At 39.7% G+C, this 26,916-nt stretch overlaps 1 annotated feature.

Annotated features, from left to right (window-relative positions):
- Positions 1-26,916: part of a centromere (Linear centromere model derived predominantly from reads generated in PMID: 17803354. This region does not represent an actual centromere sequence, as long-range ordering of repeats and unmapped WGS contigs is not provided by the model. For details of model production, see http://arxiv.org/abs/1307.0035.) that runs on past both edges of the window.

Here is a 26,916-nt window from a genome sequence, read left to right as displayed (position 1 = left end):
GTTGTTATGGGAAGATATTTCCTTTTCCAACATAGGCCTGAAGCGCTCCAAATGTCCACTTCCAGATACTACAAAAGGAGTGATTCAAACCTGCTCTATGATAGGGAATGTTCAACTCTGTGTCCTGAATACAAACATCACAAAGATGTTTCTCAGAACGCTGCAGTCTGCAATTTGTATGAATTCCCGCTTCCAACGAAATCCTCCAAACTAGCCAAATATCCACTTGCAGATTCCACAAAAAGAGCGTTTCAAAACTTCTCTATGAAAAGAAAGGTTCTACTCCTTTAGTTGAGGACACACATCACGAGTAAGTTTCTGAGAATGCTTCTGTCTAGTTTTTATGGGAAGATATTTCCTTTTTCACCTTAGGCCGGTAAGTGCTCCAAATGTCCACTTACACACACTACAAAAAGAGTGTTTCAAACCTGCTCTGTGAAAGGGAATGTTCAATTCTGTGACTTGAATGCAATCATCACAAAGAACTTTCTGAGAATGCTGCTGACTGCTTTTTATATGTAATCCCGTTTCCAACGAAATCCTCAAATCTAGCCAAATAGCCACTTGCAGATTCCACAAAAAGAGGGTTTCAAAACTGTTCTGTCTAAAGAAATGTTCAACTGTGTTAGTTGAGGACACACATCAGAAACTAGTTTCTGAGAATGCTTCTGTCTAGTTGTTATGGGAAGATATTTCCTTTTCCAACGTAGGCCTGAAAGCGATCCAAATGTCCACTTCCATATACTAAAAAAAGAGTGTTTCAAACCTGCTCTACCAAAGGGAATGTTCTACTCTGTGACTTGAATGCAAACATCCCAAAGAAGTTTCTGAGAATGCTTCTGTCTAGATTTTCTCTGAAGACAATCCCGTTTCCAACGAAATCCTCAAGGCTAGGCAAATATACTCTTGCAGATTCCAGAAAAAGAGTGTTTCAAAACTGCTCCTTCAAAACGGTGGTTCAATTCTCTTAGTTGAGTACACACATCTCAAATAAGTTTCTGAGAATGCTTCTGCCTAGTTGTTACGGGAAGATATTTCCCTTTCCAACATGGGCCTGAAAGCGCTCCAAATGTCCACTTCCAGATACTACAAAAAGAGTGTTTCAAACCTGCTCTACCAAAGGGAATGTTCTACTCTGTGACTTGAATGCAAACATCCCAAAGAAGTTTCTGAGAATGCTTCTGTCTAGATTTTACCTGAAGACAATCCCGTTTCCCACGAAATCCTCAAAGCTATGCAAATATCCTCTTGCAGATTCTACAAAAAGAGTGTTTCAAAACTGCTCTATGAAAAGAAAGGTTCAACTCTGTCAGTAGAGGGCACACATCACAAACAAGTTTCTGAGAATGCTTCTGCATAGTTGTTACGGGAAGATATTTCCCTTTCCAAAATAGGCCTGAAAGCGCTCCAAATGTCCACTTCCAGATACTACAAAAGGAGTGATTCCAACCTGCTCTATGATAGGGAATGTTCAACTCTGTGTCCTGAATACAAACATCACAAAGATGTTTCTCAGAACGCTGCAGTCTGCAATTTGTATGAATTCCCGCTTCCAACGAAATCCTCAAAACTAGCCAAATATCCACTTGCAGATTCCACAAAAAGACCATTTCAAAACTGCTCTATCAAAAGAAAGGTTCAACTTTGTTAGTTGAGTAGATACAGCATAAACAAGTTTCTGAGAATGCTTCTGTCCAGTTTTTATGGGAAGATATTTCCTTTTTCACCTTAGCCCTGAAAGCGCTCCAAATTTCCAGTTCCAGATACTACAAAAGGGGTGTTTCAAGACTGCTCTATGAAAGGGAGTGTTCAACTTTTGACTTGAATGCAAACATCAGAAAGCAGTTTCTCAGAACGCTGCTGTGTGCTTTTTATATGTATTCCCGCTTCCAGCGAAATCCCCAAAGCTAGCCAAATATCCACTTGCAGATTCCAGAAAAAGAGTGTTTCCAAACTGCTCCTTCAAAACGGTGGTTCAATTCTCTTAGTTGAGTACACACATCTCAAATAAGTTTGCTGGGAATGCTTGTGACTAGTTGTTATGGGAAGATATTTCCTTTTTCAACATAGGCCTGAAAGCGATCCAAATGTCCACTTCCAGATACTACAAAAGGAGTGATTCCAACATGCTCTATGATAGGGAATGTTCATCTCTGTGTCTTGAATACAAACATCACAAAGATGTTTCTCAGAACTCTGCAGTCTGCAATTTGTATGAATTCCCGCTTCCAACGAAATCCTCCAAACTAGCCAAATATCCACTTGCAGATTCCACAAAAAGAGCGTTTCAAAACTTCTCTATGAAAAGAAAGGTTCTACTCCTTTAGTTGAGGACACACATCACGAGTAAGTTTCTGAGAATGCTTCTGTCTAGTTTTTATGGGAAGATATTTCCTTTTTCACCTTAGGCCGGAAAGTGCTCCAAATGTCCACTTACACACACTACAAAAAGAGTGTTTCAAACCTGCTCTGTGAAAGGGAATGTTCAATTCTGTGACTTGAATGCAATCATCACAAAGAACTTTCTGAGAATGCTGCTGTCTGCTTTTTATATGTAATCCCGTTTCCAACGAAATCCTCAAATCTAGCCAAATAGCCACTTGCAGATTCCACAAAAAGAGAGTTTCAAAACTGTTCTGTCTAAAGAAATGTTCAACTGTGTTAGTTGAGGACACACATCAGAAACTAGTTTCTGAGAATGCTTCTGTCTAGTTGTTATGGGAAGATATTTCCTTTTCCAACGTAGGCCTGAAAGCGCTCCAAATGTCCACTTCCATATACTAAAAAAAGAGTGTTTCAAACCTGCTCTACCAAAGGGAATGTTCTACTCTGTGACTTGAATGCAAACATCCCAAAGAAGTTTCTGAGAATGCTTCTGTCTAGATTTGATCTGAAGACAATCCCGTTTCCAACGAAATCCTCAAGGCTAGGCAAATATCCTCTTGCAGATTCCAGAAAAAGAGTGTTTCAAAACTGCTCCTTCAAAACGGTGGTTCAATTCTCTTAGTTGAGTACACACATCTCAAATAAGTTTTTGAGAATGCTTCTGCCTAGTTGTTACGGGAAGATATTTCCCTTTCCAACATAGGCCTGAAAGCGCTCCAAATGTCCACTTCCAGATACTACAAAAAGAGTGTTTCAAACCTGCTCTACCAAAGGGAATGTTCTACTCTGTGACTTGAATGCAAACATCCCAAAGAAGTTTCTGAGAATGCTTCTGTCTAGATTTTACCTGAAGACAATCCCGTTTCCCACGAAATCCTCAAAGCTATGCAAATATCCTCTTGCGGATTCTACAAAAAGAGTGTTTCAAAACTGCTCTATGAAAAGAAAGGTTCAACTCTGTCAGTAGAGGGCACACATCACAAACAAGTTTCTGAGAATGCTTGTGTCTAGTTGTTATGGGAAGATATTTCCTTTTTCAACATAGGCCTGAAAGCGCTCCAAATGTCCACTTCCAGATACTACAAAAGGAGTGATTCCAACATGCTCTATGATAGGGAATGTTCATCTCTGTGTCTTGAATACAAACATCACAAAGATGTTTCTCAGAACGCTGCAGTCTGCAATTTGTATGAATTCCCGCTTCCAACGAAATCCTCAACACTAGCCAAATATCCACTTGGAGATTCCACAAAAAGAGCGTTTCAAAACTTCTCTATGAATAGAAAGGTTCTACTCCTTTAGTTGAGGACACACATCACGAGTAAGTTTCTGAGAATGCTTCTGTCTAGTTTTTATGGGAAGATATGTCCTTTTTCACCTTAGGCCGGAAAGCGCTCCAAATGTCCACTTACACACACTACAAAAAGAGTGTTTCAAACCTGCTCTGTGAAAGGGAATGTTCAATTCTGTGACTTGAATGCAATCATCACAAAGAACTTTCTGAGAATGCTGCTGTCTGCTTTTTATATGTAATCCCGTTTCCAACGAAATCCTCAAATCTACCCCAATATCCACTTGCAGATTCCACAAAAAGAGTGTTTCAAAACTGTTCTGTGTAAAGAAATGTACAACTGTTTTAGTTGAGGACACACATCAGAAACTAGTTTCTGAGAATGCTTCTGTCTAGTTGTTATGGGAAGATATTTCCTTTTCCAACGTAGGCCTGAAAGCGCTCCAAATGTCCACTTCCATATACTAAAAAAAGAGTGTTTCAAACCTGCTCTACCAAAGGGAATGTTCTACTCTGTGACTTGAATGCAAACATCCCAAAGAAGTTTCTGAGAATGCTTCTGTCTAGATTTTATCTGAAGACAATCCCGTTTCCAACGAAATCCTCAAGGCTAGGCAAATATACTCTTGCAGATTCCAGAAAAAGAGGGTTTCAAAACTGCTCCTTCAAAACGGTGGTTCAATTCTCTTAGTTGAGTACACACATCTCAAATAAGTTTCTGAGAATGCTTCTGCCTAGTTGTTACGGGAAGATATTTCCCTTTCCAACATGGTCCTGAAAGCGCTCCAAATGTCCACTTCCAGATACTACAAAAAGAGTGTTTCAAACCTGCTCTACCAAAGGGAATGTTCTACTCTGTGACTTGAATGCAAACATCCCAAAGAAGTTTCTGAGAATGCTTCTGTCTAGATTTTACCTGAAGACAATCCCGTTTCCCACGAAATCCTCAAAGCTATGCAAATATCCTCTTGCAGATTCTACACAAAGAGTGTTTCAAAACTGCTCTATGAAAAGAAAGGTTCAACTCTGTCAGTAGCGGGCACACATCACAAACAAGTTTCTGAGAATGCTTGTGTCTAGTTGTTATGGGAAGATATTTCCTTTTTCAACATAGGCCTGAAAGCGCTCCAAATGTCCACTTCCAGATACTACAAAAGGAGTGATTCCAACCTGCTCTATGATAGGGAATGTTCAACTCTGTGTCCTGAATACAAACATCACAAAGATGTTTCTCAGAACGCTGCAGTCTGCAATTTGTATGAATTCCCGCTTCCAACGAAATCCTCCAAACTAGCCAAATATCCACTTGCAGATTCCACAAAAAGAGCGTTTCAAAACTTCTCTATGAAAAGAAAGGTTCTACTCCTTTAGTTGAGGACACACATCACGAGTAAGTTTCTGAGAATGCTTCTGTCTAGTTTTTATGGGAAGATATTTCCTTTTTCACCTTAGGCCGGAAAGTGCTCCAAATGTCCACTTACACACACTATAAAAAGAGTGTTTCAAACCTGCTCTGTGAAAGGGAATGTTCAATTCTGTGACTTGAATGCAATCATCACAAAGAACTTTCTGAGAATGCTGCTGTCTGCTTTTTATATGTAATCCCGTTTCCAACGAAATCCTCAAATCTAGCCAAATAGCCACTTGCAGATTCCACAAAAAGAGAGTTTCAAAACTGTTCTGTCTAAAGAAATGTTCAACTGTGTTAGTTGAGGACACACATCAGAAACTAGTTTCTGAGAATGCTTCTGTCTAGTTGTTATGGGAAGATATTTCCTTTTCCAACGTAGGCCTGAAAGCGCTCCAAATGTCCACTTCCATATACTAAAAAAAGAGTGTTTCAAACCTGCTCTACCAAAGGGAATGTTCTACTCTGTGACTTGAATGCAAACATCCCAAAGAAGTTTCTGAGAATGCTTCTGTCTAGATTTGATCTGAAGACAATCCCGTTTCCAACGAAATCCTCAAGGCTAGGCAAATATCCTCTTGCAGATTCCAGAAAAAGAGTGTTTCAAAACTGCTCCTTCAAAACGGTGGTTCAATTCTCTTAGTTGAGTACACACATCTCAAATAAGTTTCTGAGAATGCTTCTGCCTAGTTGTTACGGGAAGATATTTCCCTTTCCAACATAGGCCTGAAAGCGCTCCAAATGTCCCACTTCCAGATACTACAAAAAGAGTGTTTCAAACCTGCTCTACCAAAGGGAATGTTCTACTCTGTGACTTGAATGCAAACATCCCAAAGAAGTTTCTGAGAATGCTTCTGTCTAGATTTTACCTGAAGACAATGCCGTTTCCCACGAAATCCTCAAAGCTAGGCAAATATCCTCTTGCAGATTCTACAAAAAGAGTGTTTCGAAACTGCTCTATGAAAAGAAAGGATCAACTGTGTCAGTAGAGGGCACACATCACAAACAAGTTTCTGAGAATGCTTCTGCATAGTTGTTACCGGGAAGATATTTCCCTTTCCAAAATAGGCCTGAAAGCGCTCCAAATGTCCACTTCCAGATACTACAAAAGGAGTGATTCCAACCTGCTCTATGATAGGGAATGTTCAACTCTGTGTCCTGAATACAAACATCACAAAGATGTTTCTCAGAACGCTGCAGTCTGCAATTTGTATGAATTCCCGCTTCCAACGAAATCCTCAAAACTAGCCAAATATCCACTTGCAGATTCCACAAAAAGACCATTTCAAAACTGCTCTATCAAAAGAAAGGTTCAACTTTGTTAGTTGAGTAGATACAGCATAAACAAGTTTCTGAGAATGCTTCTGTCCAGTTTTTATGGGAAGATATTTCCTTTTTCACCTTAGCCCTGAAATCGCTCCAAAAGTCCAGTTCCAGATACTACAAAAGGGGTGTTTCAAGACTGCTCTATGAAAGGGAGTGTTCAACTTTTGACTTGAATGCAAACATCAGAAAGCAGTTTCTCAGAACGCTGCTGTGTGCTTTTTATATGTATTCCCGCTTCCAGCGAAATCCCCAAAGCTAGCCAAATATCCACTTGCAGATTCCAGAAAAAGAGAGTTTCAAAACTGCTCCTTCAAAACGGTGGTTCAATTCTCTTAGTTGAGTACACACATCTCAAATAAGTTTCTGAGAATGCTTCTGTCTAGTTGTTATGGGAAGATATTTCCTTTTCCAACATAGGCCTGAAAGCGCTCCAAATGTCCACTTCCAGATACTACAAAAGGAGTGATTCCAACCTGCTCTATGATAGGGAATGTTCAACTCTGTGTCCTGAATACAAACATCACAAAGATGTTTCTCAGAACGCTGCAGTCTGCAATTTGTATGAATTCCCGCTTCCAACGAAATCCTCAAACCTAGCCAAACATCCACTTGCAGAGTCCACAAAAAGAGCGTTTCAAAACTTCTCTATGAAAAGAAAGGTTCTACTCCTTTAGTTGAGGACACACATCACGAGTAAGTTTCTGAGAATGCTTCTGTCTAGTTTTTATGGGAAGATATTTTCCTTGTTCACCTTAGGCCGGAAAGCGCTCCAAATGTCCACTTACACACACTACAAAAAGAGTGTTTCAAACCTGCTCTGTGAAAGGGAATGTTCAATTCTGTGACTTGAATGCAATCATCACAAAGAAGTTTCTGAGAATGCTGCTGTCTGCTTTTTATATGTAATCCCGTTTCCAACGAAATCCTCAAATCTAGCCAAATATCCACTTGCAGATTCCACAAAAAGAGTGTTTCAAAACTGTTCTGTCTAAAGAAATGTTCAACTGTGTTAGTTGAGGACACACATCAGAAACTAGTTTCTGAGAATGCTTCTGTCTAGTTGTTATGGGAAGATATTTCCTTTTCCAACGTAGGCCTGAAAGCGCTCAAAATGTCCACTTCCATATACTAAAAAAAGGGTGTTTCAAACCTGCTCTACCAAAGGGAATGTTCTACTCTGTGACTTGAATGCAAACATCCCAAAGAAGTTTCTGAGAATGCTTCTGTCTAGATTTGATCTGAAGACAATCCCGTTTCCAACGAAATCCTCAAAGCTAGGCAAATATACTCTTGCAGATTCCAGAAAAAGAGTGTTTCAAAACTGCTCCTTCAAAAGGGTGGTTCAATTCTCTTAGTTGAGTACACACATCTCAAATAAGTTTCTGAGAATGCTTCTGCCTAGTTGTTACGGGAAAGATATTTCCCTTTCCAACATGGGCCTGAAAGCGCTCCAAATGTCCACTTCCAGATACTACAAAAAGAGTGTTTCAAACCTGCTCTACCAAAGGGAATGTTCTACTCTGTGACTTGAATGCAAACATCCCAAAGAAGTTTCTGAGAATGCTTCTGTCTAGATTTTACCTGAAGACAATCCCGTTTCCCACGAAATCCTCAAAGCTATGCAAATATCCTCTTGCAGATTCTACAAAAAGAGTGTTTCAAAACTGCTCTATGAAAAGAAAGGTTCAACTCTGTCAGTAGAGGGCACATATCACAAACAAGTTTCTGAGAATGCTTCTGCATAGTTGTTACGGGAAGATATTTCCCTTTCCAAAATAGGCCTGAAAGCGCTCCAAATGTCCACTTCCAGATACTACAAAAGGAGTGATTCCAACCTGCTCTATGATAGGGAATGTTCAACTCTGTGTCCTGAATACAAACATCACAAAGATGTTTCTCAGAACGCTGCAGTCTGCAATTTGTATGAATTCCCGCTTCCAACGAAATCCTCAAAACTAGCCAAATATCCACTTGCAGATTCCACAAAAAGACCATTTCAAAACTGCTCTATCAAAAGAAAGGTTCAACTTTGTTAGTTGAGTAGATACAGCATAAACAAGTTTCTGAGAATGCTTCTGTCCAGTTTTTATGGGAAGATATTTCCTTTTTCACCTTAGCCCTGAAAGCGCTCCAAAAGTCCAGTTCCAGATACTACAAAAGGAGTGTTTCAGGACTGCACTATGAAAGGGAGTGTTCAACTTTTGACTTGAATGCAAACATCAGAAAGCAGTTTTCTCAGAACGCTGCTGTGTGCTTTTTATATGTATTCCCGCTTCCAGCGAAATCCCCAAGCTAGCCAAATATCCACTTGCAGATTCCAGAAAAAGAGAGTTTCAAAACTGCTCCTTCAAAACGGTGGTTCAATTCTCTTAGTTGAGTACACACATCTCAAATAAGTTTCTGAGAATGCTTCTGTCTAGTTGTTATGGGAAGATATTTCCTTTTCCAACATAGGCCTGAAAGCGCTCCAAATGTCCACTTCCAGATACTACAAAAGGAGTGATTCCAACCTGCTCTATGATAGGGAATGTTCAACTCTGTGTCCTGAATACAAACATCACAAAGATGTTTCTCAGAACGCTGCAGTCTGCAATTTGTATGAATTCCCGCTTCCAACGAAATCCTCAAAACTAGCCAAATATCCACTTGCAGATTCCACAAAAAGAGCGTTTCAAAACTTCTCTATGAAAAGAAAGGTTCTACTCCTTTAGTTGAGGACACACATCACGAGTAAGTTTCTGAGAATGCTTCTGTCTAGTTTTTATGGGAAGATATTTCCTTTTTCACCTTAGGCCGGTAAGTGCTCCAAATGTCCACTTACACACACTACAAAAAGAGTGTTTCAAACCTGCTCTGTGAAAGGGAATGTTCAATTCTGTGACTTGAATGCAATCATCACAAAGAACTTTCTGAGAATGCTGCTGACTGCTTTTTATATGTAATCCCGTTTCCAACGAAATCCTCAAATCTAGCCAAATAGCCACTTGCAGATTCCACAAAAAGAGTGTTTCAAAACTGTTCTGTCTAAAGAAATGTTCAACTGTGTTAGTTGAGGACACACATCAGAAACTAGTTTCTGAGAATGCTTCTGTCTAGTTGTTATGGGAAGATATTTCCTTTTCCAACGTAGGCCTGAAAGCGCTCCAAATGTCCACTTCCATATACTAAAAAAAGAGTGTTTCAAACCTGCTCTACCAAAGGGAATGTTCTACTCTGTGACTTGAATGCAAACATCCCAAAGAAGTTTCTGAGAATGCTTCTGTCTAGATTTTCTCTGAAGACAATCCCGTTTCCAACGAAATCCTCAAGGCTAGGCAAATATACTCTTGCAGATTCCAGAAAAAGAGTGTTTCAAAACTGCTCCTTCAAAACGGTGGTTCAATTCTCTTAGTTGAGTACACACATCTCAAATAAGTTTCTGAGAATGCTTCTGCCTATTTGTTACGGGAAGATATTTCCCTTTCCAACATGGGCCTGAAAGCGCTCCAAATGTCCACTTCCAGATACTACAAAAAGAGTGTTTCAAACCTGCTCTACCAAAGGGAATGTTCTACTCTGTGACTTGAATGCAAACATCCCAAAGAAGTTTCTGAGAATGCTTCTGTCTAGATTTTACCTGAAGACAATCCCGTTTCCCACGAAATCCTCAAAGCTATGCAAATATCCTCTTGCGGATTCTACAAAAAGAGTGTTTCAAAACTGCTCTATGAAAAGAAAGGTTCCACTCTGTCAGTAGAGGGCACACATCACAAACAAGTTTCTGAGAATGCTTGTGTCTAGTTGTTATGGGAAGATATTTCCTTTTTCAACATAGGCCTGAAAGCGCTCCAAATGTCCACTTCCAGATACTACAAAAGGAGTGATTCCAACCTGCTCTATGATAGGGAATGTTCAACTCTCTGTCCTGAATACAAACATCACAAAGATGTTTCTCAGAACGCTGCAGTCTGCAATTTGTATGAATTCCCGCTTCCAATGAAATCCTCAAAACTAGCCAAATATCCACTTGCAGATTCCACAAAAAGAGCATTTCAAAACTGCTCTATCAAAAGAAAGGTTCAACTTTGTTAGTTGAGTAGATACAGCATAAACAAGTTTCTGAGAATGCTTCTGTCCAGTTTTTATGGGAAGATATTTCCTTTTTCACCTTAGCCCTGAAAGCGCTCCAAAAGTCCAGTTCCAGATACTACAAAAGGAGTGTTTCAGGACTGCTCTATGAAAGGGAGTGTTCAACTTTTGACTTGAATGCAAACATCAGAAAGCAGTTTCTCAGAACGCTGCTGTGTGCTTTTTATATGTATTCCCGCTTCCAGCGAAATCCCCAAAGCTAGCCAAATATCCACTTGCAGATTCCAGAAAAAGAGTGTTTCAAAACTGCTCCTTCAAAACGGTGGTTCAATTCTCTTAGTTGAGTACACACATCTCAAATAAGTTTCTGAGAATGCTTCTGTCTAGTTGTTATGGGAAGATATTTCCTTTTCCAACATAGGCCTGAAAGCGCTCCAAATGTCCACTTCCAGATACTACAAAAGGAGTGATTCAAACCTGCTCTATGATAGGGAATGTTCAACTCTGTGTCCTGAATACAAACATCACAAAGATGTTTCTCAGAACGCTGCAGTCTGCAATTTGTATGAATTCCCGCTTCCAACGAAATCCTCCAAACTAGCCAAATATCCACTTGCAGATTCCACAAAAAGAGCGTTTCAAAACTTCTCTATGAAAAGAAAGGTTCTACTCCTTTAGTTGAGGACACACATCACGAGTAAGTTTCTGAGAATGCTTCTGTCTAGTTTTTATGGGAAGATATTTCCTTTTTCACCTTAGGCCGGAAAGCGCTCCAAATGTCCACTTACACACACTACAAAAAGAGTGTTTCAAACCTGCTCTGTGAAAGGGAATGTTCAATTCTGTGACTTGAATGCAATCATCACAAAGAACTTTCTGAGAATGCTGCTGACTGCTTTTTATATGTAATCCCGTTTCCAACGAAATCCTCAAATCTAGCCAAATAGCCACTTGCAGATTCCACAAAAAGAGTGTTTCAAAACTGTTCTGTCTAAAGAAATGTTCAACTGTGTTAGTTGAGGACACACATCAGAAACTAGTTTCTGAGAATGCTTCTGTCTAGTTGTTATGGGAAGATATTTCCTTTTCCAACGTAGGCCTGAAACCGCTCCAAATGTCCACTTCCATATACTAAAAAAAGAGTGTTTCAAACCTGCTCTACCAAAGGGAATGTTCTACTCTGTGACTTGAATGCAAACATCCCAAAGAAGTTTCTGAGAATGCTTCTGTCTAGATTTTCTCTGAAGACAATCCCGTTTCCAACGAAATCCTCATGGCTAGGCAAATATACTCTTGCAGATTCCAGAAAAAGAGTGTTTCAAAACTGCTCCTTCAAAACGGTGGTTCAATTCTCTTAGTTGAGTACACACATCTCAAATAAGTTTCTGAGAATGCTTCTGCCTAGTTGTTACGGGAAGATATTTCCCTTTCCAACATGGGCCTGAAAGCGCTCCAAATGTCCACTTCCAGATACTACAAAAAGAGTGTTTCAAACCTGCTCTACCAAAGGGAATGTTCTACTCTGTGACTTGAATGCAAACATCCCAAAGAAGTTTCTGAGAATGCTTCTGTCTAGATTTTACCTGAAGACAATCCCGTTTCCCACGAAATCCTCAAAGCTATGCAAATATCCTCTTGCAGATTCTACAAAAAGAGTGTTTCAAAACTGCTCTATGAAAAGAAAGGTTCAACTCTGTCAGTAGAGGGCACACATCACAAACAAGTTTCTGAGAATGCTTCTGCATAGTTGTTACGGGAAGATATTTCCCTTTCCAAAATAGGCCTGAAAGCGCTCCAAATGTCCACTTCCAGATACTACAAAAGGAGTGATTCCAACCTGCTCTATGATAGGGAATGTTCAACTCTGTGTCCTGAATACAAACATCACAAAGATGTTTCTCAGAACGCTGCAGTCTGCAATTTGTATGAATTCCCGCTTCCAACGAAATCCTCAAAACTAGCCAAATATCCACTTGCAGATTCCACAAAAAGACCATTTCAAAACTGCTCTATCAAAAGAAAGGTTCAACTTTGTTAGTTGAGTAGATACAGCATAAACAAGTTTCTGAGAATGCTTCTGTCCAGTTTTTATGGGAAGATATTTCCTTTTTCACCTTAGCCCTAAAATCGCTCCAAAAGTCCAGTTCCAGATACTACAAAAGGGGTGTTTCAAGACTGCTCTATGAAAGGGAGTGTTCAACTTTTGACTTGAATGCAAACATCAGAAAGCAGTTTCTCAGAACGCTGCTTTGTGCTTTTTATATGTATTCCCGCTTCCAGCGAAATCCCCAAAGCTAGCCAAATATCCACTTGCAGATTCCAGAAAAAGAGTGTTTCAAAACTGCTCCTTCAAAACGGTGGTTCAATTCTCTTAGTTGAGTAGACACATCTCAAATAAGTTTCTGAGAATGCTTCTGTCTAGTTGTTATGGGAAGATATTTCCTTTTCCAACATAGGCCTGAAAGCGCTCCAAATGTCCACTTCCAGATACTACAAAAGGAGTGATTCAAACCTGCTCTATGATAGGGAATGTTCAACTCTGTGTCCTGAATACAAACATCACAAAGATGTTTCTCAGAACGCTGCAGTCTGCAATTTGTATGAATTCCCGCTTCCAACGAAATCCTCAAAACTAGCCAAATATCCACTTGCAGATTCCACAAAAAGAGCGTTTCAAAACTTCTCTATGAAAAGGAAGGTTCTACTCCTTTAGTTGAGGACACACATCACGAGTAAGTTTACTGAGAATGCTTCTGTCTAGTTTTTATGGGAAGATTATTTCCTTTTTCACCTTAGGCCGGTAAGTGCTCCAAATGTCCACTTACACACACTACAAAAAGAGTGTTTCAAACCTGCTCTGTGAAAGGGAATGTTCAATTCTGTGACTTGAATGCAATCATCACAAAGAACTTTCTGAGAATGCCGCTGACTGCTTTTTATATGTAATCCCGTTTCCAACGAAATCCTCAAATCTAGCCAAATAGCCACTTGCAGATTCCACAAAAAGAGTGTTTCAAAACTGTTCTGTCTAAAGAAATGTTCAACTGTGTTAGTTGAGGACACACATCAGAAACTAGTTTCTGAGAATGCTTCTGTCTAGTTGTTATGGGAAGATATTTCCTTTTCCAACGTAGGCCTGAAAGCGCTCCAAATGTCCACTTCCAGATACTACAAAAAGAGTGTTTCAAACCTGCTCTACCAAAGGGAATGTTCTACTCTGTGACTTGAATGCAAGCATCCCAAAGAAGTTTCTGAGAATGCTTCTGTCTAGATTTTCTCTGAAGACAATCCCGTTTCCAACGAAATCCTCAAGGCTAGGCAAATATACTCTTGCAGATTCCAGAAAAAGAGTGTTTCAAAACTGCTCCTTCAAAACGGTGGTTCAATTCTCTTAGTTGAGTACACACATCTCAAATAAGTTTCTGAGAATGCTTCTGCCTAGTTGTTACGGGAAGATATTTCCCTTTCCAACATGGGCCTGAAAGCGCTCCAAATGTCCACTTCCAGATACTACAAAAAGAGTGTTTCAAACCTGCTCTACCAAAGGGAATGTTCTACTCTGTGACTTGAATGCAAACATCCCAAAGAAGTTTCTGAGAATGCTTCTGTCTAGATTTTACCTGAAGACAATCCCGTTTCCCACGAAATCCTCAAAGCTATGCAAATATCCTCTTGCAGATTCTACAAAAAGAGTGTTTCAAAACTGCTCTATGAAAAGAAAGGTTCAACTCTGTCAGTAGAGGGCACACATCACAAACAAGTTTCTGAGAATGCTTCTGCATAGTTGTTACGGGAAGATATTTCCCTTTCCAAAATAGGCCTGAAAGCGCTCCAAATGTCCACTTCCAGATACTACAAAAGGAGTGATTCCAACCTGCTCTATGATAGGGAATGTTCAACTCTGTGTCCTGAATACAAACATCACAAAGATGTTTCTCAGAACGCTGCAGTCTGCAATTTGTATGAATTCCCGCTTCCAACGAAATCCTCAAAACTAGCCAAATATCCACTTGCAGATTCCACAAAAAGAGCATTTCAAAACTGCTCTATCAAAAGAAAGGTTCAACTTTGTTAGTTGAGTAGATACAGCATAAACAAGTTTCTGAGAATGCTTCTGTCCAGTTTTTATGGGAAGATATTTCCTTTTTCACCTTAGCCCTGAAAGCGCTCCAAAAGTCCAGTTCCAGATACTACAAAAGGAGTGTTTCAGGACTGCACTATGAAAGGGAGTGTTCAACTTTTGACTTGAATGCAAACATCAGAAAGCAGTTTCTCAGAACGCTGCTGTGTGCTTTTTATATGTATTCCCGCTTCCAGCGAAATCCCCAAAGCTAGCCAAATATCCACTTGCAGATTCCAGAAAAAGAGTGTTTCAAAACTGCTCCTTCAAAACGGTGGTTCAATTCTCTTAGTTGAGTACACACATCTCAAATAAGTTTCTGAGAATGCTTCTGTCTAGCTGTTATGGGAAGATATTTCCTTTTCCATCATAGGCCTGAAAGCGCTCCAAATGTCCACTTCCAGATACTACAAAAGGAGTGATTCAAACCTGCTCTATGATAGGGAATGTTCAACTCTGTGTCCTGAATACAAACATCACAAAGATGTTTCTCAGAACGCTGCAGTCTGCAATTTGTATGAATTCCCGCTTCCAACGAAATCCTCAAAACTAGCCAAATATCCACTTGCAGATTCCACAAAAAGAGCGTTTCAAAACTTCTCTATGAAAAGAAAGGTTCTACTCCTTTAGTTGAGGACACACATCACGAGTAAGTTTCTGAGAATGCTTCTGTCTAGTTTTTATGGGAAGATATTTCTTTTTTCCCTTAGGCCGGAAAGCGCTCCAAATGTCCACTTACACACACTACAAAAAGAGTGTTTCAAACCTGCTCTGTGAAAGGGAATGTTCAATTCTGTGACTTGAATGCAATCATCACAAAGAACTTTCTGAGAATGCTGCTGACTGCTTTTTATATGTAATCCCGTTTCCAACGAAATCCTCAAATCTAGCCCAATATCCACTTGCAGATTCCACAAAAAGAGTGTTTCAAAACTGTTCTGTCTAAAGAAATGTACAACTGTGTTAGTTGAGGACACACATCAGAAACTAGTTTCTGAGAATGCTTCTGTCTAGTTGTTATGGGAAGATATTTCCTTTTCCAACGTAGGCCTGAAAGCGCTCCAAATGTCCACTTCCATATACTAAAAAAAGAGTGTTTCAAACCTGCTCTACCAAAGGGAATGTTCTACTCTGTGACTTGAATGCAAACATCCCAAAGAAGTTTCTGAGAATGCTTCTGTCTAGATTTTATCTGAAGACAATCCCGTTTCCAACGAAATCCTCAAGGCTAGGCAAATATACTCTTTCAGATTCCAGAAAAAGAGTGTTTCAAAACTGCTCCTTCAAAACTGTGGTTCAATTCTCTTCGTTGAGTACACACATCTCAAATAAGTTTCTGAGAATGCTTCTGCCTAGTTGTTACGGGAAGATATTTCCCTTTCCAACATGGGCCTGAAAGCGCTCCAAATGTCCACTTCCAGATACTACAAAAAGAGTGTTTCAAACCTGCTCTACCAAAGGGAATGTTCTACTCTGTGACTTGAATGCAAACATCCCAAAGAAGTTTCTGAGAATGCTTCTGTCTAGATTTTACCTGAAGACAATCCCGTTTCCCACGAAATCCTCAAAGCTATGCAAATATCCTCTTGCGGATTCTACAAAAAGAGTGTTTCAAAACTGCTCTATGAAAAGAAAGGTTCAACTCTGTCAGTAGAGGGCACACATCACAAACAAGTTTCTGAGAATGCTTGTGTCTAGTTGTTATGGGAAGATATTTCCTTTTTCAACATAGGCCTGAAAGCGCTCCAAATGTCCACTTCCAGATACTACAAAAGGAGTGATTCCAACCTGCTCTATGATAGGGAATGTTCATCTCTGTGTCCCGAATACAAACATCACAAAGATGTTTCTCAGAACGCTGCAGTCTGCAATTTGTATGAATTCCCGCTTCCAACGAAATCCTCAAAACTAGCCAAATATCCACTTGCAGATTCCACAAAAAGAGCGTTTCAAAACTTCTCTATGAAAAGAAAGGTTCTACTCCTTTAGTTGAGGACACACATCACGAGTAAGTTTCTGAGAATGCTTCTGTCTAGTTTTTATGGGAAGATATTTCCTTTTTCACCTTAGGCCGGTAAGGGTTCCAAATGTCCACTTACACACACTACAAAAAGAGTGTTTCAAACCTGCTCTGTGAAAGGGAATGTTCAATTCTGTGACTTGAATGCAATCATCACAAAGAACTTTCTGAGAATGCTGCTGACTGCTTTTTATATGTAATCCCGTTTCCAACGAAATCCTCAAATCTAGCCAAATAGCCACTTGCAGATTCCACAAAAAGAGTGTTTCAAAACTGTTCTGTCTAAAGAAATGTTCAACTTGTGTTAGTTGAGGACACACATCAGAAACTAGTTTCTGAGAATGCTTCTGTCTAGTTGTTATGGGAAGATATTTCCTTTTCCAACGTAGGCCTGAAAGCGCTCCAAATGTCCACTTCCAGATACTACAAAAAGAGTGTTTCAAACCTGCTCTACCAAAGGGAATGTTCTACTCTGTGACTTGAATGCAAGCATCCCAAAGAAGTTTCTGAGAATGCTTCTGTCTAGATTTTCTCTGAAGACAATCCCGTTTCCAACGAAATCCTCAAGGCTAGGCAAATATACTCTTGCAGATTCCAGAAAAAGAGTGTTTCAAAACTGCTCCTTCAAAACGGTGGTTCAATTCTCTTAGTTGAGTACACACATCTCAAATAAGTTTCTGAGAATGCTTCTGCCTAGTTGTTACGGGAAGATATTTCCCTTTCCAACATGGGCCTGAAAGCGCTCCAAATGTCCACTTCCAGATACTACAAAAAGAGTGTTTCAAACCTGCTCTACCAAAGGGAATGTTCTACTCTGTGACTTGAATGCAAACATCCCAAAGAAGTTTCTGAGAATGCTTCTGTCTAGATTTTACCTGAAGACAATCCCGTTTCCCACGAAATCCTCAAAGCTATGCAAATATCCTCTTGCAGATTCTACAAAAAGAGTGTTTCAAAACTGCTCTATGAAAAGAAAGGTTCAACTCTGTCAGTAGAGGGCACACATCACAAACAAGTTTCTGAGAATGCTTCTGCATAGTTGTTACGGGAAGATATTTCCCTTTCCAAAATAGGCCTGAAAGCGCTCCAAATGTCCACTTCCAGATACTACAAAAGGAGTGATTCCAACCTGCTCTATGATAGGGAATGTTCAACTCTGTGTCCTGAATACAAACATCACAAAGATGTTTCTCAGAACGCTGCAGTCTGCAATTTGTATGAATTCCCGCTTCCAACGAAATCCTCAAAACTAGCCAAATATCCACTTGCAGATTCCACAAAAAGACCATTTCAAAACTGCTCTATCAAAAGAAAGGTTCAACTTTGTTAGTTGAGTAGATACAGCATAAACAAGTTTCTGAGAATGCTTCTGTCCAGTTTTTATGGGAAGATATTTCCTTTTTCACCTTAGCCCTGAAAGCGCTCCAAAAGTCCAGTTCCAGATACTACAAAAGGGGTGTTTCAGGACTGCTCTATGAAAGGGAGTGTTCAACTTTTGACTTGAATGCAAACATCAGAAAGCAGTTTCTCAGAACGCTGCTGTGTGCTTTTTATATGTATTCCCGCTTCCAGCGAAATCCCCAAAGCTAGCCAAATATCCACTTGCAGATTCCAGAAAAAGAGTGTTTCAAAACTGCTCCTTCAAAACGGTGGTTCAATTCTCTTAGTTGAGTACACACATCTCAAATAAGTTTCTGAGAATGCTTCTGTCTAGTTGTTATGGGAAGATATTTCCTTTTTCAACATAGGCCTGAAAGCGCTCCAAATGTCCACTTCCAGATACTACAAAAGGAGTGATTCCAACCTGCTCTATGATAGGGAATGTTCAACTCTGTGTCCTGAATACAAACATCACAAAGATGTTTCTCAGAACGCTGCAGTCTGCAATTTGTATGAATTCCCGCTTCCAACGAAATCCTCCAAACTAGCCAAATATCCACTTGCAGATTCCACAAAAAGAGCGTTTCAAAACTTCTCTATGAAAAGAAAGGTTCTACTTCTTTAGTTGAGGACACACATCACGAGTAAGTTTCTGAGAATGCTTCTGTCTAGTTTTTATGGGAAGATATTTCCTTGTTCACTTTAGGCCGGAAAGCGCTCCAAATGTCCACTTACACACACTACAAAAAGAGTGTTTCAAACCTGCTCTGTGAAAGGGAATGTTCAATTCTGTGACTTGAATGCAATCATCACAAAGAAGTTTCTGAGAATGCTGCTGTCTGCTTTTTATATGTAATCCCGTTTCCAACGAAATCCTCAAATCTAGCCAAATATCCACTTGCAGATTCCACAAAAAGAGTGTTTCAAAACTGTTCTGCTAAAGAAATGTTCAACTGTGTTAGTTGAGGACACACATCAGAAACTAGTTTCTGAGAATGCTTCTGTCTAGTTGTTATGGGAAGATATTTCCTTTTCCAACGTAGGCCTGAAAGCGCTCCAAATGTCCACTTACACACACTACAAAAAGAGTGTTTCAAACCTGCTCTACCAAAGGGAATGTTCTACTCTGTGACTTGAATGCAAACATCCCAAAGTAGTTTCTGAGAATGCTTCTGTCTAGATTTTACCTGAAGACAATCCCGTTTCCCACGAAATCCTCAAAGCTATGCAAATATCCTCTTGCAGATTCTACAAAAAGAGTGTTTCGAAACTGCTCTATGAAAAGAAAGGTTCAACTGTGTCAGTAGAGGGCACACATCACAAACAAGTTTCTGAGAATGCTTCTGTCTAGTTGTTATGGGAAGATATTTCCTTTTTCAACATAGGCCTGAAAGCGCTCCAAATGTCCACTTCCAGATACTAAAAAAGGAGTGATTCCAACCTGCTCTATGATAGGGAATGTTCAACTCTCTGTCCTGAATACAAACATCACAAAGATGTTTCTCAGAACGCTGCAGTCTGCAATTTGTATGAATTCCGGCTTCCAACGAAAATCCTCAAAACTAGCCAAATATCCACTTGCAGATTCCACAAAAAGAGCATTTCAAAACTGCTCTATCAAAAGAAAGGTTCAACTTTGTTAGTTGAGTAGATACAGCATAAACAAGTTTCTGAGAATGCTTCTGTCCAGTTTTTATGGGAAGATATTTCCTTTTTCACCTTAGCCCTGAAAGCGCTCCAAAAGTCCAGTTCCAGATACTACAAAAGGAGTGTTTCAGGACTGCTCTATGAAAGGGAGTGTTCAACTTTTGACTTGAATGCAAACATCAGAAAGCAGTTTCTCAGAACGCTGCTGTGTGCTTTTTATATGTATTCCCGCTTCCAGCGAAATCCCCAAAGCTAGCCAAATATCCACTTGCAGATTCCAGAAAAAGAGTGTTTCAAAACTGCTCCTTCAAAACGGTGGTTCAATTCTCTTAGTTGAGTACACACATCTCAAATAAGTTTCTGAGAATGCTTGTGTCTAGTTGTTATGGGAAGATATTTCCTTTTTCAACATAGGCCTGAAAGCGCTCCAAATGTCCACTTCCAGATACTACAAAAGGAGTGATTCCAACCTGCTCTATGATAGGGAATGTTCATCTCTGTGTCCTGAATACAAACATCACAAAGATGTTTCTCAGAACGCTGCAGTCTGCAATTTGGATGAATTCCCGCTTCCAACGAAATCCTCAAAACTAGCCAAATATCCACTTGGAGATTCCACAAAAGGAGAGTTTCAAAACTTCTCTATGAATAGAAAGGTTCTACTCCTTTAGTTGAGGAAACACATCACGAGTAAGTTTCTGAGAATGCTTCTGTCTAGTTTTTATGGGAAGATATTTCCTTTTTCACCTTAGGCCGGAAAGCGCTCCAAATGTCCACTTACACACACTACAAAAAGAGTGTTTCAAACCTGCTCTGTGAAAGGGAATGTTCAATTCTGTGACTTGAATGCAATCATCACAAAGAACTTTCTGAGAATGCTGCTGTCTGCTTTTTATATGTAATCCCGTTTCCAACGAAATCCTCAAATCTAGCCCAATATCCACTTGCATATTCCACAAAAAGAGTGTTTCAAAACTGTTCTGTATAAAGAAATGTACAACTGTGTTAGTTGAGGACACACATCAGAAACTAGTTTCTGAGAATGCTTCTGTCTAGTTGTTATGGGAAGATATTTCCTTTTCCAACATAGGCCTGAAAGCGCTCCAAATGTCCACTTCCATATACTAAAAAAAGAGTGTTTCAAACCTGCTCTACCAAAGGGAATGTTCTACTCTGTGACTTGAATGCAAACATCCCAAAGAAGTTTCTGAGAATGCTTCTGTCTAGATTTTATCTGAAGACAATCCCGTTTCCAACGAAATCTTCAAGGCTAGGCAAATATACTCTTGCAGATTCCAGAAAAAGAGTGTTTCAAAACTGCTCCTTCAAAACGGTGGTTCAATTCTCTTAGTTGAGTACACACATCTCAAATAAGTTTCTGAGAATGCTTCTGCCTAGTTGTTACGGGAAGATATTTCCCTTTCCAACATGGGCCTGAAAGCGCTCCAAATGTCCACTTCCAGATACTACAAAAAGAGGGTTTCAAACATGCTCTACCAAAGGGAATGTTCTACTCTGTGACTTGAATGCAAACATCCCAAAGAAGTTTCTGAGAATGCTTCTGTCTAGATTTTACCTGAAGACAATCCCGTTTCCCACGAAATCCTCAAAGCTATGCAAATATCCTCTTGCAGATTCTACAAAAAGAGTGTTTCAAAACTGCTCTATGAAAAGAAAGGTTCAACTCTGTCAGCAGAGGGCACACATCACAAACAAGTTTCTGAGAATGCTTGTGTCTAGTTGTTATGGGAAGATATTTCCTTTTTCAACACAGGCCTGAAAGCGCTCCAAATGTCCACTTCCAGATACTACAAAAGGAGTGATTCCAACCTGCTCTATGATAGGGAATGTTCATCTCTGTGTCCTGAATACAAACATCACAAAGATGTTTCTCAGAACGCTGCAGTCTGCAATTTGTATGAATTCCCGCATCCAACGAAATCCTCAAAACTAGCCAAATATCCACTTGGAGATTCCACAAAAAGAGCGTTTCAAACCTTCTCTATGAATAGAAAGGTTCTACTCCTTTAGTTGAGGACACACATCACGAGTAAGTTTCTGAGAATGCTTCTGTCTAGTTTTTATGGGAAGATATTTCCTTTTTCACCTTAGGCCGGAAAGCGCTCCAAATGTCCACTTACACACACTACAAAAAGAGTGTTTCAAACCTGCTCTGTGAAAGGGAATGTTCAATTCTGTGACTTGAATGCAATCATCACAAAGAACTTTCTGAGAATGCTGCTGACTGCTTTTTATATGTAATCCCGTTTCCAACGAAATCCTCAAATCTAACCAAATAGCCACTTGCAGATTCCACAAAAAGAGTGTTTCAAAACTGTTCTGTCTAAAGAAATGTTCAATGTGTTTGTTGAGGACACACATCAGAAACTAGTTTCTGAGAATGCTTCTGTCTGGTTGTTATGGGAAGATATTTCCTTTTCCAACGTAGGCCTGAAAGCGCTCCAAATGTCCACTTCCATATACTAAAAAAAGAGTGTTTCAAACCTGCTCTACCAAAGGGAATGTTCTACTCTGTGACTTGAATGCAAACATCCCAAAGAAGTTTCTGAGAATGCTTCTGTCTAGATTGGATCTGAAGACAATCCCGTTTCCAACGAAATCCTCAAATCTATGCAAATATCCTCTTGCAGATTCCAGAAAAAGAGTGTTTCAAAACTGCTCCTTCAAAACGGTGGTTCAATTCTCTTAGTTGAGTACACACATCTCAAATAAGTTTCTGAGAATGCTTCTGCCTAGTTGTTACCGGAAGATATTTCCCTTTCCAACATAGGCCTGAAAGCGCTCCAAATGTCCACTTCCAGATACTACAAAAAGAGTGTTTCAAACCTGCTCTACCAAAGGGAATGTTCTACTCTGTGACTTGAATGCAAACATCCCAAAGAAGTTTACTGAGAATGCTTCTGTCTAGATTTTACCTGAAGACAATCCCGTTTCCCACGAAATCCTCAAAGCTATGCAAATATCCTCTTGCAGATTCTACAAAAAGAGTGTTTCAAAACTGCCCTATGAAAAGAAAGGTTCAACTCTGTCAGTAGAGGGCACACATCACAAACAAGTTTCTGAGAATGCTTCTGCATAGTTGTTATGGGAAGATATTTCCCTTTCCAAAATAGGCCTGAAAGCGCTCCAAATGTCCACTTCCAGATACTACAAAAGGAGTGATTCCAACCTGCTCTATGATAGGGAATGTTCAACTCTGTGTCCTGAATACAAACATCACAAAGATGTTTCTCAGAACGCTGCAGTCTGCAATTTGTATGAATTCCCGCTTCCAACGAAATCCTCAAAACTAGCCAAATATCCACTTGCAGATTCCACAAAAAGACCATTTCAAAACTGCTCTATCAAAAGAAAGGTTCAACTTTGTTAGTTGAGTAGATACAGCATAAACAAGTTTCTGAGAATGCTTCTGTCCAGTTTTTATGGGAAGATATTTCCTTTTTCACCTTAGCCCTGAAAGCGCTCCAAAAGTCCAGTTCCAGATACTACAAAAGGAGTGTTTCAGACTGCACTATGAAAGGGAGTGTTCAACTTTTGACTTGAATGCAAACATCAGAAAGCAGTTTCTCAGAACGCTGCTGTGTGCTTTTTATATGTATTCCCGCTTCCAGCGAAATCCCCAAAGCTAGCCAAATATCCACTTGCAGATTCCAGAAAAAGAGTGTTTCAAAACTGCTCCTTCAAAACGGTGGTTCAATTCTCTTAGTTGAGTACACACATCTCAAATAAGTTTCTGAGAATGCTTGTGTCTAGTTGTTATGGGAAGATATTTCCTTTTTCAACATAGGCCTGAAAGCGCTCCAAATGTCCACTTCCAGATACTACAAAAGGAGTGATTCCAACCTGCTCTATGATAGGGAATGTTCAACTCTCTGTCCTGAATACAAACATCACAAAGATGTTTCTCAGAACGCTGCAGTCTGCAATTTGTATGAATTCCCGCTTCCAACGAAATCCTCAAAACTAGCCAAATATCCACTTGCAGATTCCACAAAAAGAGCGTTTCAAAACTTCTCTATGAAAAGAAAGGTTCTACTCCTTTAGTTGAGGACACACAATACGAGTAAGTTTCTGAGAATGCTTCTGTCCAGTTTTTATGGGAAGATATTTCCTTTTTCACCTTAGCCCTGAAAGCGCTCCAAAAGTCCAGTTCCAGATACTACAAAAGGAGTGTTTCAGGACTGCTCTATGAAAGGGAGTGTTCAACTTTTGACTTGAATGCAAACATCAGAAAGCAGTTTCTCAGAACGCTGCTGTGTGCTTTTTATATGTATTCCCGCTTCCAGCGAAATCCCCAAAGCTAGCCAAATATCCACTTGCAGATTCCAGAAAAAGAGTGTTTCAAAACTGCTCCTTCAAAACGGTGGTTCAATTCTCTTAGTTGAGTACACACATCTCAAATAAGTTTCTGAGAATGCTTCTGTCTAGTTGTTATGGGAAGATATTTCCTTTTCCAACATAGGCCTGAAAGCGCTCCAAATGTCCACTTCCAGATACTACAAAAGGAGTGATTCCAACCTGCTCTATGATAGGGAATGTTCAACTCTGTGTCCTGAATACAAACATCACAAAGATGTTTCTCAGAACGCTGCAGTCTGCAATTTGTATGAATTCCCGCTTCCAACGAAATCCTCAAAACTAGCCAAATATCCACTTGCAGATTCCACAAAAAGAGCATTTCAAAACTGCTCTATCAAAAGAAAGGTTCAACTTTGTTAGTTGAGTAGATACAGCATAAACAAGTTTCTGAGAATGCTTCTGTCCAGTTTTTATGGGAAGATATTTCCTTTTTCACCTTAGCCCTGAAAGCGCTCCAAAAGTCCAGTTCCAGACACTACAAAAGGAGTGTTTCAGGACTGCTCTATGAAAGGGAGTGTTCAACTTTTGACTTGAATGCAAACATCAGAAAGCAGTTTCTCAGAACGCTGCTGTGTGCTTTTTATATGTATTCCCGCTTCCAGCGAAATCCCCAAAGCTAGCCAAATATCCACTTGCAGATTCCAGAAAAAGAGTGTTTCAAAACTGCTCCTTCAAAACGGTGGTTCAATTCTCTTAGTTGAGTACACACATCTCAAATAAGTTTCTGAGAATGCTTCTGTCTAGTTGTTATGGGAAGATATTTCCTTTTCCAACATAGGCCTGAAAGCGCTCCAAATGTCCACTTCCAGATACTACAAAAGGAGTGATTCCAACCTGCTCTATGATAGGGAATGTTCAACTCTGTGTCCTGAATACAAACATCACAAAGATGTTTCTCAGAACGCTGCAGTCTGCAATTTGTATGAATTCCCGCTTCCAACGAAATCCTCCAAACTAGCCAAATATCCACTTGCAGATTCCACAAAAAGAGCGTTTCAAAACTTCTCTATGAAAAGAAAGGTTCTACTCCTTTAGTTGAGGACACACATCACGAGTAAGTTTCTGAGAATGCTTCTGTCTAGTTTTTATGGGAAGATATGTCCTTTTTCACCTTAGGCCGGAAAGCGCTCCAAATGTCCACTTACACACACTACAAAAAGAGTGTTTCAAACCTGCTCTGTGAAAGGGAATGTTCAATTCTGTGACTTGAATGCAATCATCACAAAGAACTTTCTGAGAATGCTTGCTGACTGCTTTTTATATGTAATCCCGTTTCCAACGAAATCCTCAAATCTAGCCCAATATCCACTTGCAGATTCCACAAAAAGAGTGTTTCAAAACTGTTCTGTGTAAAGAAATGTACAACTGTGTTAGTTGAGGACACACATCAGAAACTAGTTTCTGAGAATGCTTCTGTCTAGTTGTTATGGGAAGATATTTCCTTTTCCAACGTAGGCCTGAAAGCGCTCCAAATGTCCACTTCCATATACTAAAAAAAGAGTGTTTCAAACCTGCTCTACCAAAGGGAATGTTCTACTCTGTGACTTGAATGCAAACATCCCAAAGAAGTTTCTGAGAATGCTTCTGTCTAGATTTTCTCTGAAGACAATCCCGTTTCCAACGAAATCCTCAAGGCTAGGCAAATATACTCTTGCAGATTCCAGAAAAAGAGTGTTTCAAAACTGCTCCTTCAAAACGGTGGTTCAATTCTCTTAGTTGAGTACACACATCTCAAATAAGTTTCTGAGAATGCTTCTGCCTAGTTGTTACGGGAAGATATTTCCTTTTCCAACATGGGCCTGAAAGCGCTCCAAATGTCCACTTCCAGATACTACAAAAAGAGTGTTTCAAACCTGCTCTACCAAAGGGAATGTTCTACTCTGTGACTTGAATGCAAACATCCCAAAGAAGTTTCTGAGAATGCTTCTGTCTAGATTTTACCTGAAGACAATCCCGTTTCCCACGAAATCCTCAAAGCTATGCAAATATCCTCTTGCAGATTCTACAAAAAGAGTGTTTCAAAACTGCTCTATGAAAAGAAAGGTTCAACTCTGTCAGTAGAGGGCACACATCACAAACAAGTTTCTGAGAATGCTTCTGCATAGTTGTTACGGGAAGATATTTCCCTTTCCAAAATAGGCCTGAAAGCGCTCCAAATGTCCACTTCCAGATACTACAAAAGGAGTGATTCCAACCTGCTCTATGATAGGGAATGTTCAACTCTGTGTCCTGAATACAAACATCACAAAGATGTTTCTCAGAACGCTGCAGTCTGCAATTTGTATGAATTCCCGCTTCCAACGAAATCCTCAAAACTAGCCAAATATCCACTTGCAGATTCCACAAAAAGACCATTTCAAAACTGCTCTATCAAAAGAAAGGTTCAACTTTGTTAGTTGAGTAGATACAGCATAAACAAGTTTCTGAGAATGCTTCTGTCCAGTTTTTATGGGAAGATATTTCCTTTTTCACCTTAGCCCTGAAATCGCTCCAAAAGTCCAGTTCCAGATACTACAAAAGGGGTGTTTCAAGACTGCTCTATGAAAGGGAGTGTTCAACTTTTGACTTGAATGCAAACATCAGAAAGCAGTTTCTCAGAACGCTGCTGTGTGCTTTTTATATGTATTCCCGCTTCCAGCGAAATCCCCAAAGCTAGCCAAATATCCACTTGCAGATTCCAGAAAAAGAGTGTTTCAAAACTGCTCCTTCAAAAGGGTGGTTCAATTCTCTTAGTTGAGTACACACATCTCAAATAAGTTTCTGAGAATGCTTCTGTCTAGTTGTTATGGGAAGATATTTCCTTTTCCAACATAGGCCTGAAAGCACTCCAAATGTCCACTTCCAGATACTACGAAAGGAGTGATTCAAACCTGCTCTATGATAGGGAATGT

This window comes from Homo sapiens, chromosome 18 (assembly GCF_000001405.40).
Source record: "Homo sapiens chromosome 18, GRCh38.p14 Primary Assembly".
Taxonomy (NCBI): Eukaryota; Metazoa; Chordata; class Mammalia; order Primates; family Hominidae; genus Homo; species Homo sapiens.
The sequence above is the reverse complement of the archived record's forward strand: the minus strand, read 5'-3'. Positions and strand labels throughout refer to the sequence as shown.